Consider the following 12,947-nt stretch of genomic DNA (forward strand, 5'->3'; position numbering starts at 1 on the left):
AGAATTCCAGTCCATGTATCTCTATGTCCTTATGCCAGTACCACACTGTCTTGATTACTGGACTTTATAGTAAGGCTTGAAATCAAGAGATGTGAGTCCTCTACTTCTGTTTATTTTCCCTGACAATTTAGATTATTTGGGATTCCTTGAAATTTTCTATGGATTTTAGGATGGATTTTTCTATTTCTGAAAAACAAAAAGGCAGCTGAGATTTTGATAGGAAATGTATTGAATCTGTAGATCAGTTAAATCTTTCTCATTTAGGTCTCTGATCACTGTGAATTAAATTTTATATAAGTATTAGGTAGGAATATCAATTTTTATTAAAACAATCATTCCTCACCGAATTGCAGGAGGGCCTTTGTCATTAATCACTTGACTCTGTATGTGTGGATTGTTTCTAGACTGTGTCTAGTTCAAATGATCTGTGTTAGTAACACTCTTTATTAATTATTGTAGCTTTATGGTAGTTGTAATTATCTTGTATATCTTGTATATTCATCCCTTTTTTTTTTGAGGCAAGGTCCCACTCTGTCACCCAGGCTGGAGTGCGGTGGCATGACTGTGGCTCACTGCAGCCTCAGCCTCCCAGGCTTAGGCAGTCCTCCCACATCAGCCTCTTGGGTAGCTGGGACTACAGGCACACATCACCACACCCTGCCAGTTGTTTTGTTTTGTTTTGTTTGTTGGTAGAGGCGGTATCTCCCTGTGTTGCCCAGGCTGGTCTCAGACTCCTGGGCTCAAGTAATCCTCCCACCTCGGCCTCACAAACTGCTAGGATTACAGGCGTGAGCCATCACACCTAGCCAATTTTGTTTTGTTTAAATCAAAATTATCTTGTCTTTTCTAGGTCCTTTGTATTTCTGTATCAATTTCAGAATCAAACTTGTCAGATTAACATCTATAGATCAATTTATAGATCAATTTGTAGAGAATTGACAACTTAGCAATCTTGAGTCTTTCAGTTCATTATATGTATATCCATTTGTGCAGGTCTCTTCAACAATGTTTCATATATTTCTCTGTAGTGATCTTAGATATTTTTTGTTATATTTATTCCTAAGGGTTTTATTTTTGGATGCTAATGAAAATACTATTGCTTTTAATTTTTTATTTCTTGTTAGTATATAGGAATATAATTGATTTTTATGTATTGACTTTGATAAATTGACTTACTAGTTCATGTATTGTGTAGTTCTTAAGTTTTTCTACATATATAGTCATGTCATCTAAAAGTCCTATCAATTTTACTTTTTTTCTTCCATTCTAAAGGTTGGAATTTTAAGAATTCCATTTCTTACCTTGTTCCACTGGCTGGAACTCCAGTACAGTTTTGAATAGAAGTTATTATAGTATGGCCAGGCATGGTGGCTCACGCCTATAATCCCAGCACTTTCAGAGGCCGAGGCAGGAGGATTGCTTGAGCCCAGGAGTTTGAGACCAGTTGGGCAACATAGCAACACCCTATCTCTACAAAAACAAAAACAAAAACAAAAACACACACACACACACCCACATTATCTGGGTGTGGTGGCACGTGCCTATAGTCCCAGCTACTCAGGGTGCTGAAGCAGGAGGTTCACATGAGTCCTGGAATTTGAGGCTACAGTGAGCTATAATCGCCACACCACTGCATTCTAGCCTGAGTGACAGAGTGAGATTTTGTTTCTAAAAAATAAAAATAAAAAATAATTATAGTGCATATTTTTCTCTTAATTGTGGACATAAGAGGGAAATGTTCAATATTTCATCATTAATTATGTTGTTAGCTGGTAGGTTTTTTTAGATACTCTATCGAATTTCTGTTCCCAATTTCTATTGCTGAGAGTTTTATCAAATGCTGGTTCTTAAATCTTTAAGAACCAACATTTGGCCGGGCACAGTGGCTCAGGCCTGTAATCCCAGTACTTTGGGAGGCTGAGGTGTGCGGATCACCTGAAGTCGGGAGTTCGAGACCAGCCTGACCAACATGGAGAAGCCCCGTCTCTGCTAAAACTACAAAATTAGCTGGGTGTGGTGGTGCGTGCCTGTAATCTCAGCTACTCGGGAGACTGAAGCAGGAGAATCGCTTGAACCCGGGAGGCAGAGGTGGCAGTGAGCCGAGATCAAGCCACTGCACTCCAGCCTAGGTGATAGAGCAAGACTCTGTCTCAAAAAAAAAAAAAAAAAAAAAGTCAAATGTTGGTTTTATTTTTGAGACGGACCTTCACTCTTGTTGCTCAGGCTGGAATGAAATGGCACGATCTCGGCTCACCATAACCTCTGCCTTACAGGTTCAATTGATTCTCCTGCCTCAGCCTCCTGAGTAGCTGGGATTACGCCACCACACTTGGGTAATTTTTGTATTTTTAGCAGAGACGGGATTTCACCATGTTGGCCAGGCTGGTCTCGAACTCCCAATCTCAGGTGATCCGCCCACCTCAGCCTCCCAAAGTGCTGGGATTACAGGTGTGAGCCACTGTGCCCGGCCTGACTTTCTTGATTTTCTTAATTGTACACTTATTTTCTATGTCATTGATTTGTATCCTTTACTATTTATTGTCTTCTATTCTCTTTGGCATTATTTTGCTGTTCTTTTTCTAACTTCTCAAGGTGGGAACTTAGATTGATTTTAAACCATTCTTCTCTAGTATAGTCTTTTAAGGCTATAATTTTTCCTTTAGGCACAGCTTTTGCTTTTTTCCACAATTTGGTATATCACATTTTCATCATTTACCTCAAAATATTTTCTAATCTATTTTGATTTTTTTTTGAATTTGAGGTATATATTATTATGTGTATACTGCTTCTAGTGTGGGGACTTTTATAGTTACATAGCTATCTTTCTGTTATTTATTTCTAGTTTAATTTCATGGTACTTAAATAATATACATTGTATGATTTCAGAGAAATGTGTTGGGATGTATTTTATCATAAGGCCTTGTATATGCTCTGTTCTGGAAAATGTTCCATTGCGCTTGAAAGTAACGTGATTTTGTTTTTACAGTTGTTGGTTGTAGTGTTCTGTATATGTCAATTCGGTTGACTTGATTGTGTCATTCAGATTTTCTCTTTTTCTTACTTTTTTTGGTCTGCTATCAGTCACAGAGTATCCAGTCTTCATTTATGTTTGTGGGTTTGTCCATCCGTTCTGTCAACTTTTACTTTAAATAATAAATATGCAAATAATTATTAGATGTATATAAATCTGGGACTCTATATATTTGTGCCAAAATGATTCTTTTGTCTTTGTAAAATATCTTTCTTTATCTCTAGTGATACTTCTTCCCTTAAAGTCTACTTTAATGTTAACTTTACTACTTTAACTTTCTTTTAGTGTTTGCATGGTGTATCATTTTCCATCCTTTTTTCACCTTCTCACGCTCTTTATAGTTAAAGGTGTATCTCTTGCAGATAGCATATAACTTGTCTTTCTCTTCTTTTCAATTTGGTCTAACAACCTGTGGGTTACCATTTCCAGAACGATGCAACAAACACGTTTACTCTTTCCACTGCTGTTTATTTCTTTCTAGCAATTCTGTGCTTCCAGTTGTCATCATTTTCTTCTCTCTGAAGGACTCTTTCCAAATTTTTTGTAGTGTTCTATCATCCCACAGGATGTCTCCTTTCATAATTCTAGATTTTGGTAGACCTGCTAATAAAAATACTCAAGAAGTAATCTCCACAGAAACTTCCCCCTTCATCAAATGAAGTAGCCGGGTAAAGCCTTTATTTGAATGATTCAAGGTAACACCAATACTAAGATATTCCAGAAGAGGATTTGGCTTCTCAAACAAGTCTTGGTTTTATTTTCTCTTGCATGGACATAATTCCATTGTCCAGGGCTTAGAAAGGCTGATGTGATGGGTGGAAATATATTATTGGAGACCAGTTTATAAGTGGTGAGTTCCTTGGTGAAAAGTTTTTATGATGATGCCTTTTACCTATGCAGTCTTATAAATACAGTCATGTGTGGATTGTGAGTATTTGGACAGCAAGGACCCAGGAGGAAGCTTTTATCTTCATATTTGGCAGTAGCAAGTATTCAGTAAGTAGAGAGAAGGGGTATTTTCATATTCTGAAGGCTAGCTATTGGTAAGTTCCCTTTCCTGTTTTGTGTGTGAGGAGACACTAATAGTCATTGCCTTGTATTTGCCTACCATTATGTTAGGCTCTCTGTGTGTGTTATATAATTGTGTCCTTGTAATGGCGGCAGAAGGAGGCATCATTATTTCCCTGAGTTAGATGGGGAAACTGAGGCCTAGAGAGATTGTCACTTATGTAGGATCTTATATATATATATCTAATAATAAAAGTGGAGACTAGAGACCATGTCCTTTGACTCCTAAACAGATGTTTGTCACCACACTGTGTTGACACTAGGAATCTACTACTAAGGCCTCCTTTTTGGCATGACCCCGAGCTTCAACATCCACAGTGTGGCCAATTTTTGCAGAATTAGGACAAGATCCAGCCAGTGACTACGGTGGTAGTGGAAACTGAGAGTTCTCTGGTCCACAGAAAGGATGTGTGGGCCTGAGGGACCAGGGAAGGCTGCCAGAGGAAATGAGACCTGAGACTTGGAGAGTAAATAGGAATTAACAGGTGAAGGATGTTTGTGGGGGGCCACAGGGAGGAGAGAACCAAGTAGGAGGAAGCTATGGTGTGCCAGGAGGTGAGAGCAAGAATTTGGCATGTCAAAGGATGCCAAAGAAGTTGGAGGCAAGGGGGAAGAATGACACTGGAGAGGTGAGCAAGAACCAGATTCTTTAGGCTCTCAAAAGCCATTTTAAGAAGGCTTGGACCTTATTCTCTGGGCATTGTGCAACTATTGAAGGCTTCATGCAAGGAAATGACACAATCAGATGTGTGTCCTGGGAATATTATTCTTGCTGCAGTATGAGGAGTGTTCCAGAGCACAGAGAGGTTGGAGGATGAAAGCAGTTCCAGGCTGCCATGCGTCATCTGGGAGACAGTTGATGTGGCCTGAGCCAGAATGAATGATGGGAAATAGAAAGAATGATTCAGGAGTGTGTAGCAGGAAAAGTCCACATGAGGTTGCCTTGGTGGAGGGAAGGATGGAGGGCCCATCTGACTGCCCAATCAGCCTTGTGCTGCAGCAGCCCTAGGGTGCCTTCCAGGAACACAGTTCCAGAAACAACCTGGTGTGGCTTGGGGATGTGGGGTTAGGGCTTCACCTTCTTTAACCTTTCTTGGGCTCTGACATGGAGAACCTGTGAAGTCTTCTGAGATGCCACTGTCATCTGGGATCTTTCACCATGTGCCAATCACTATTGTTGTTACAAAGTTAGAGGAGAATGGGATTTTTGAGCAAGAAAAAGATATAGATGAATGGTTGTGCTGTTAATTGAGCCTGGAAAGTAAAGGAGAACAAGCTTTCATCCCAGCAAGGTGGGGCAGGGGTGGAGTGGAGGGAGGCTGCAGAAAATAAGCCAGAGAGTTTGTTCTCTTCAGGGTCTGGCCCAGAGCACATGTTCAGAAATGTCAAATTCTTGCTCCCTTCTCATGGCACACTGTAGCTTCCTCCTATTTGGCTCTCTCCTCCCTGTGCCCCTCTGAACATCCTTCACCTATTAACTCCTATTTATTCTTCAAGTCTCAGGTCTCGTTTCTTCTGGGAAGCCTTTCCTGGTCCCCTTCTGCAACTCCTTGGCCTTGTCCCTCTCTGTCTCTTCGGTGCATCCTCCTCTCCTTCCCACCATGACGATTGGGCTCCCCAAGCTTACATCCTCAGCCTCTCTCTTTGAAGACTGTGTGTTTTCCCTGGAAATTTCATCTTACCTCGTGGTTTCAGTTATCTTCTGTAAGCTAAGGACTCTGCCAAAGCTCTACCCTACGAAACCAGTGGTGCACTTCACATCTTCTCTTGGATGCTCCACAGGTCCCAACAACTCAACCTTGGCTGATTCTCTTCCCACTGGCTTCAGTGCTGTACTCCATGTCCCTGTTTTTTGTCCTGACTGGGGATGCCCAGGCCTCCAGTATCAGTTGGAGTTCTTTGGTTGGAAACAACAGAAATCAGCTCTGGCTAACTTAAGTAAAAGGGAGTGTGTGAGGGAACACGGGAGGCTCCCGGAACTGACGCAGCTGGCAAATCAGGCCTGGACAGAGGCCACTCTGAAATCTGGGAAGCAGGGCTTCTGTGTTGCAGGCCCGTCCTGTCGGATGGGACAGGACACCAGTGGTTTATCTCTGGGGCCTCTGCTTATGATTGCCCTCAAGGGAGTCCATGTGATCTTTGGTGAAGGAGGAACATCCTGTTTTGGAGGGGGAATGTATGTTGGCATTAGAACATTTTAAGTGTTTATTCCAGTACCCCTTCAGTCCAGGGTCTACCTGCCTTTCAGGAGAGGCCCTCCTCAAAGTCATCTTAGCAGCTCTGCTCCCAGGAGGCTGCACTATTTGTACCACTCGGTAATGTCCCCCCTTTCATTCCAGCTGTTGATCATTGCGTTCCCCTTTTTGTTTTGCTCATTCTGGCTAGGAATTTATAAATTTTGTTGATCTTTTCAAAGAACCAATTTTTGACTTTATTTTTTTCCTATTGTTTGCTTTTGATTTCATTGATTTCCACTCCTATGTTTATTACTTCTTTTCTTCTGCTTACTTCGGGTTTAATTAGCTGGGGTTATTTCCTAAACCTTCTTAAAGTGAAACTATAAATCATAGATTTGGCACCTTCTTTTCTAATATAGAGGTTTAAAGCTGCCAAATTCCCTCTAATGACCGTTTTTATTGCATACCACAAATTTTGCCCTATATGTATGTAGTTCAGTGATCAGCCAGAGATTAGGGCAGAGTTTCTATGCAGGTTGTGGAACTCTCCTTTCTGGGGAGTTCCCCCTCACTCTCCAGATGCTGCACCATCCTCAGACTCAGATTTCTGGTTTTCTGTTTGATCTCTAGCCTCCCAATGTGGCACCAAATGAAGCCAGCTCTTAGGTAAGACCCATAAAAACAGGAAACTCACCTGGTACTATTTCCTGCTCCCACATATCAGCTCTCCTCCAACTTCTGCTTGCCTTTGGTCATTTTCCAGGGCCTTTAGAGGGTTGTTTTTTATATTTTGTCTAGAATCTATCACTTATTTCTGCAGGAGATGTTATGGACTGAATGTTTGTGTCCTGACAAAATTCGTATGTTGAAGCCCTAATCCTCAGTGTGATGTACATGGAGGTGGGGCTTTGGGAAGTCATGAGGGTGGGGCCTCCATGGTAGGATTAGTATCTTTATAGGAATTAGAAAAAACAAGAGTTCTCTTGCTCTCTTTCTCTCTATCATGTGACGACAGAGCAAGAAGGTGGCTGTCTGCAAGTAGGAAGAGAGCCCTTACCAGACATCAAATCTGCTGGCACATTGATCTTGGACTTTCACACCTCCAGAATTGTGATGAAATAAATGTTTGTTGGCTGGGTGCGGTGGCTCACACCTATAATCCCAGCACTTTGGGAGGCCAAGGCAGGTGGATCACCTGAGGTCAGGAGTTCAAGACCAGCCTGGCCAACATGGTGAAACCCTGCCCCTACCAAAAATAGAAAAATTAGCTGGGTGTTGTGGCACGCACATGTAGTCCCAGCTACTTGGGAGGCTGAAACAGGAGAATTGCTTGAACTCAGGAGGCAGAGGTTGCAGTGAGCCGAGATCGCACCACTGCACTCCAGCTTGGGCCACAGAGTGAGACTCTGTCTCAAAAAATAAATAAATTAAATAAATAAATAAATCATGTTTGTTGTTTAAGCCTCCAGTGTGTGGTGTTTGTGGTAGCAGCCTGAGCTAAGAGGAGGGCTGGTGTGGGAGGAGTTCTTCTGCCATGTGGAAAGTGGACACTTCACTGTTCATGCTAGTGTTGGCCACCTCGTGTCATTATATGCCACTGGGCCCCACCTGGATTGTGAAGACTAAAAGGAGGCCTCTGGATCTTATGCCTCTTTAGAGCCTCTTAGGGTGCACTTAGTGAAGGGTTGCAGGCATTTTTAGCCAGGCTTTCACCCTGTGGCTTCAGCTGCCATGCACCCTGCATGCCTGGGGAGACCCACAGTCCATCTTCCTCCTGGGTGCCTCTTGCTGGAGACCTCAGGTGCCCTGTGGGCAGCACGATCACAACAGAACTTGCTGTCTTCCTCGCCCCCTGCTCTACCAGTGTTCTGTTCACCTTTCTTTGGGGTAGAAACCTTCTTCCTCATACTTTAATTCCTCTTCATAAAGGAGCCTCTTTACGGCTGCTACTTGGGTTTCCGGTCTCATTGTGTCTTGTCTAAACCATGTGTTGTCCGCACGGTTTTCTTATCCTCATCTCTTGCAGTCTACTTTTAACATGGACAGAGACTGGCCTTAGGAAGAGGCAGTGCTGGATATTCATGTCCTTTGGTGAAACTCTGAGTGTCCCTCTGTTACTCAGAGGACAGCATCCAGATCCCTGACCGGATGTTTGGGGTCCTGTGGGTGTTGGCTCACCTGCCTTTTCTGGCCTCATTCCCTGTCACTCCTCACTCACTCTCGGCTCCAGCAAAGCAGCAGCGCAGCTGCTCACAGGACAGCACCTAAGTGTACCAGGGCCTGCTCGGGGGCCGCACCCTGTGTGCTTTGCCCGCTTCTCTCCTGGGCGGCCCTGCCAGTCTTCTTTTTTTTTTTTTGAGACATAGTCTCACTCTTTTGCTCAGGCTGGAGTGTGGTGGCGCAATCTCAGCTCACTGCAAGCTCCACCTCCCGGGTTCACGCCATTCTCCTGCCTCAGCCTCCCGTGTAGCTGGGACTACAGGTGCCCGCCACCATGCCTGGCTAATTTTTTTTGTATTTTTAGTAGAGACAGGGTTTCACTGTGTTAGCCAGGATGGTCTCGATCTCCTGACCTCTTGATCCGCCCACCTCGGCCTCCCAAAGTGCTGAGATTACAGGCATAAGCCACCGTACCCGGCCAGCCCTGCCAGCCTTTAACTAGCGTGCTGCCTCCTCTCCAGGCCTCACTCAATCCTTCTAAGGCAGTGTTGGGCAAGCTTGCCTCTTCTGCCACCTCTGTGATATTTTAAGTGCTGTATTGCAATTAGTTTTATGTCTCTCTCCTCGATGTAAGTGATGAGTGGAGACCTTGTTTCATCTATCTCAGTGCCCACAACACCTTGTACACAGCAGGGCTCAGCAGAACACGCTTAAATTAACAGAGGTCTCTCCTGGGGCTGTAGGCGATCAGCCCCAGGCTGATATCTGGTGCGGTGGAAAATGTGCGTGTTTACGGTTGGACTCAGAAGATGGGCCCTGTGTCCCCCAGGCTGGGAAACAGGCTCATACTCAATATGTGTGCTTCAGAATTGTTCTAAATTTCCGTGCGAAAGGGGAGACTCTGCCAATACTGAAGAAGGGAAAACTCAAGCCATCCTTTACCCCCAACTCCTGCCATCAAGAAGAAGAGTGTGTTTGGTTTAATGTCCAGATGAGAAGATCGTTGGTCTCAGGTGAGCAGTGAGCATGTAATCTGTGTGCTGAGTGAGGAGTGCGAGGGGCTAACTCAGTGGGTGTGGTAGCTGTCACTGTCTTGGGATCTTCCCTGGAGCAAGGGATAAAAAGATGGGATAAATGCTTTTCAAATATGTCTAAAAATATTTGGCCAACAGGTGTTGATTAAAGAAGAGGAAAAAAAAGGACTTAACAATTATTCAGCTCTTATGAGGTGCCAGGAGCTTTTCACACTTGATGCTGTTAGTCCTTTCCCCAGTATAGATAGAGAAACTGAGGCTCAGAGAGGCAAGGCGGCTCTGCCAGGGCCACACACTTAGCAAGGTTCAGAATTGGGATTCAAAACGAGGTCTCTCTGGCTGTAAGTATCTAATGGAATAGTTAATGTATATGATGGCTTATCTAGGACTTATTGTAGGCTGTTGAATGAATATCTCCTGTCTCTTCCTCTCTCCAGAACCTTACTGCCTTTTCTTATTCTAAGTTAGCCTTATCCAGGGGTGGTGTCCATGGTTCAGCAATGGCAGAGCACCTTCATCTGCAGGCTTGGTGGGCGCCGTCTCTACCATCTCCATAACATCCCACTCAGTGCCAGTTATCCAGTAGCTGCTTTTGAATATTTGTGGAATAGATGATGAAAGCTGGCAAGATCCTTCCTGCAAACTTGTGCTGCTTGTTTCCTGCTTAAACCTCTCAGATTCTGAGCCGTGAAGTCCTCAGGGCCTGTTTTACAAAGGAAGAATGGTATTCTTTCTTGCCTTTGCCAAGAGGAAGATACAGGAAGACTGGAGAGTCTTTTGGTTCTTAGAATTGCTGCCATCTTCATGTGTCATTGTGCTTTACTTCCTCTTTCCACTTTGTAGCATCTTTGGAAACAGGACTCAAGTAATGCCTCCTGGTGGTCTGACCCAGAGAAAGGGGGAGGGCTGGTGTGGGACCAGAAATTATTAGAGCCAGCTGAGTTAGGGCCACCACACCCCTTTTCAGAAGGAGAAGGGACCACAAGAGGGGAATTTCTCCCCCAGCCAAGGTCTACAGATATGGAAAGGGTGGGGAGGACCTCACATTAGCCCCTTGCCTTCACAGTCATCACTTTGGGTTATGCACTTGGCAGATACAGCCCTCGTATTGTGCTAGATGCTCCCCAAGTGGCTAAGAAAGTTACGGGAAGGAATGAGGCACATAGTGACACAGTATTCATAGGCAGTAGGAAGTAGTCTGTTGCATGTGTGCATGCATGTGCCCACATGCCACTTGCATGCACATGCACACACACATGTACATGCACATGTGCACATGCTCATACATATGTCTCTCAGCGCTCAAAGCAGAGTAAAAGCCCTGTACTCTAAGGACTTGTTAGTTAAGGAGCCATATTAGGGAGACAGTTTCCTTCCGAAGTTGGGGGTACATTTCATATACTGTGACTGGCTCCAACCCCTTCAGGACACCTTGCCTCCTTCCTTGGCACGGGTACAGACACTCAGCTCTTTCCAGAAACTCAATACCTCCCTGAAAGACAGAAGATTTGCCACTTCTAAAGATCTGCATAAATGTGTTAAATTTGAAAACAGTTTCTAAACAATATTTTGAACAAGAGCAGCTTTGTTAGAATCATTCACACAGTGCTTTGCACGCGATATGTCTTTGATGGAGACCTACTGGGAAGCAGTGTGGCGAGTGGGAAGAATGTGGGCTTCGCAACTATGTAGACCTACGAAAGTCCAGCCTTGCTGTCTGATAGCTATGCCATCTTGAGTTCAGGGCCCTTGTCTAGCATCCACTCAATACTTAGTGGTATAATAATGATGAGTCCTTGGAGAATAAATATACAACCTCTCGAGAAGATTGTTGAAAATTACAGCACTGTATTTGCTGGCCTGTGTTTTGCTTTTGTTAGAATTACCAATAACGTGGCCGGGCGCGGTGGCTCACGCCTGTAATCCCAGCACTTTGGGAGGCCGAGGCGGGCGGATCACGAGGTCAGGAGATCGAGACCATCCCGGCTAAAACGGTGAAACCCCGTCTCTACTAAAACTACAAAAAATAGCCGGGCGTAGTGGCGGGCGCCTGTAGTCCTAGCTACTTGGGAGGCTGAGGCAGGAGAATGGCGTGAACCCGGGAGGCGGAGCTTGCAGTGAGCCGAGATCCCGCCACTGCACTCCAGACTGGGCGACAGAGCGAGACTCCGTCTCAAAAAAAAAAAAAAAAAAAAAAAAAGAATTACCAATAACGTTACTTAATTATTCATCATATGTGTGAAATAATCAATGTATCTTGAAAGTGTAAATTCAGTTCAACATATATTTATGCATCATGTGCCTACCAAGTTTCATGCCAGGTGTGGGGACACAGAAGTGACTCAGGGCTGCTGCTTTCATGAAGCCCCTGTATCTGCAGGGGGATCAATAGCTATAGACCAATTAATATAAGAATAATTAGAATAATTATAGGATATATTTAAGTGCTATGGGAGTACAGATAGATGATACAGTTCTGTTTGGATGGAGAGAGAAGACAAAATAAGTCATTCAGGGATTTTGATTATAGCCATAGAAACCAGCTCTGGCTATCATAAGCAGAGGGAATTAATTGGAAAGTTGTTGGGGGTCGCCTGTGGGTGTGGAGCTGGAGGGCCAGGCCTGGGGAATGGGCCAGAAGCAGGGGAGCTCCTAGGTCATGAAGCCCTACCAGTTGCATCATTGTACTCTTGCTACTACTGCTGTTGCTGTGGTCTCCGTCAAGCCAATCTCTATCAGTCCCTCCTTTCTGTGTCATTTATTCAGGGTTCAGTTTTGTGTGATGATGACTATCCGAGTCCAAGTGGGGTGCCTATCCCTGGCTACTTCACGACAGAAGGAGCATACATATCTGATCTCCACTTAGATATAGGACAGCTTCCTACTTGGAAATTGGACAGAACCTCCCCAAGACTCCAACACGGGATTTAATAGGGTGCTGAAGGAAGCGTTGGCTGGGTCCTTGACAGTCGGCAACAGCAGAGCACTTGGGCAGGCAGGGTATAGAAAAAGAGACATTTCTGGCAAAGAACAGTAGGAGCCAGAAGCACAGGCCCTGGAAGCCCTGGTGTGTCTGGAGGAATAAGAGCTCCGCTGTGCCATGGGCAGTATTTGTAGCTGGTTGAGACTAGGTCAAGGAAAAGTGTTTTTCCAGTTTCTAATATCCATTCTCCAGAGAAGTAGCCCGGGTGGGAGATCCTAGATGGATCCACAAACAGTTGGAACAGATTTCTGACCAGCCTCTGGGGCCCCTGAGGGGCCCCTGAGAGCTTAACTGATGGAGATGGCCCAGTGAGCCCCACCCTAGCTGCAGGCCAACAGTTCCCTATTCTCCAGTGTTGTCCTCTTAGCCCAGGTGTAGGTGCCAACAGCAGAGGCAGGACAGTGCTCCCCACACAGCCCCGATCCCTCCAGTAGGTGTGGGGCACCTGCCTGCCTGCCTGACGTCGTTACGGGCTGAGGGTGTGACAGTGGCCA

General features: G+C 44.6%; 1 protein-coding gene across 2 annotated transcripts in view, besides 2 other annotated features; it reads left to right on the top strand.

The window, feature by feature from the left end:
• The window catches only part of CHCHD6 (coiled-coil-helix-coiled-coil-helix domain containing 6), a 256,181-nt gene that overhangs the window by 118,169 nt on the left and 125,065 nt on the right, over positions 1–12,947 (top strand). The window lies entirely within an intron of this gene.
• Positions 7,875–8,732: an enhancer, noted in NCBI's record as "H3K27ac hESC enhancer chr3:126549126-126549983 (GRCh37/hg19 assembly coordinates)". NCBI's record gives its function as "activates a minimal SCP1, AML or CMV promoter by ChIP-STARR-seq in primed H9 embryonic stem cells {active_cell/tissue: H9 hESC(primed)}" and the evidence as "EXISTENCE:reporter gene assay evidence [ECO:0000049][PMID:30033119]".
• Positions 8,733–9,589: an enhancer, noted in NCBI's record as "H3K27ac hESC enhancer chr3:126549984-126550840 (GRCh37/hg19 assembly coordinates)". NCBI's record gives its function as "activates a minimal SCP1, AML or CMV promoter by ChIP-STARR-seq in primed H9 embryonic stem cells {active_cell/tissue: H9 hESC(primed)}" and the evidence as "EXISTENCE:reporter gene assay evidence [ECO:0000049][PMID:30033119]".

Source organism: Homo sapiens, chromosome 3 (assembly GCF_000001405.40).
Source record: "Homo sapiens chromosome 3, GRCh38.p14 Primary Assembly".
Lineage (NCBI taxonomy): Eukaryota > Metazoa > Chordata > Mammalia > Primates > Hominidae > Homo > Homo sapiens.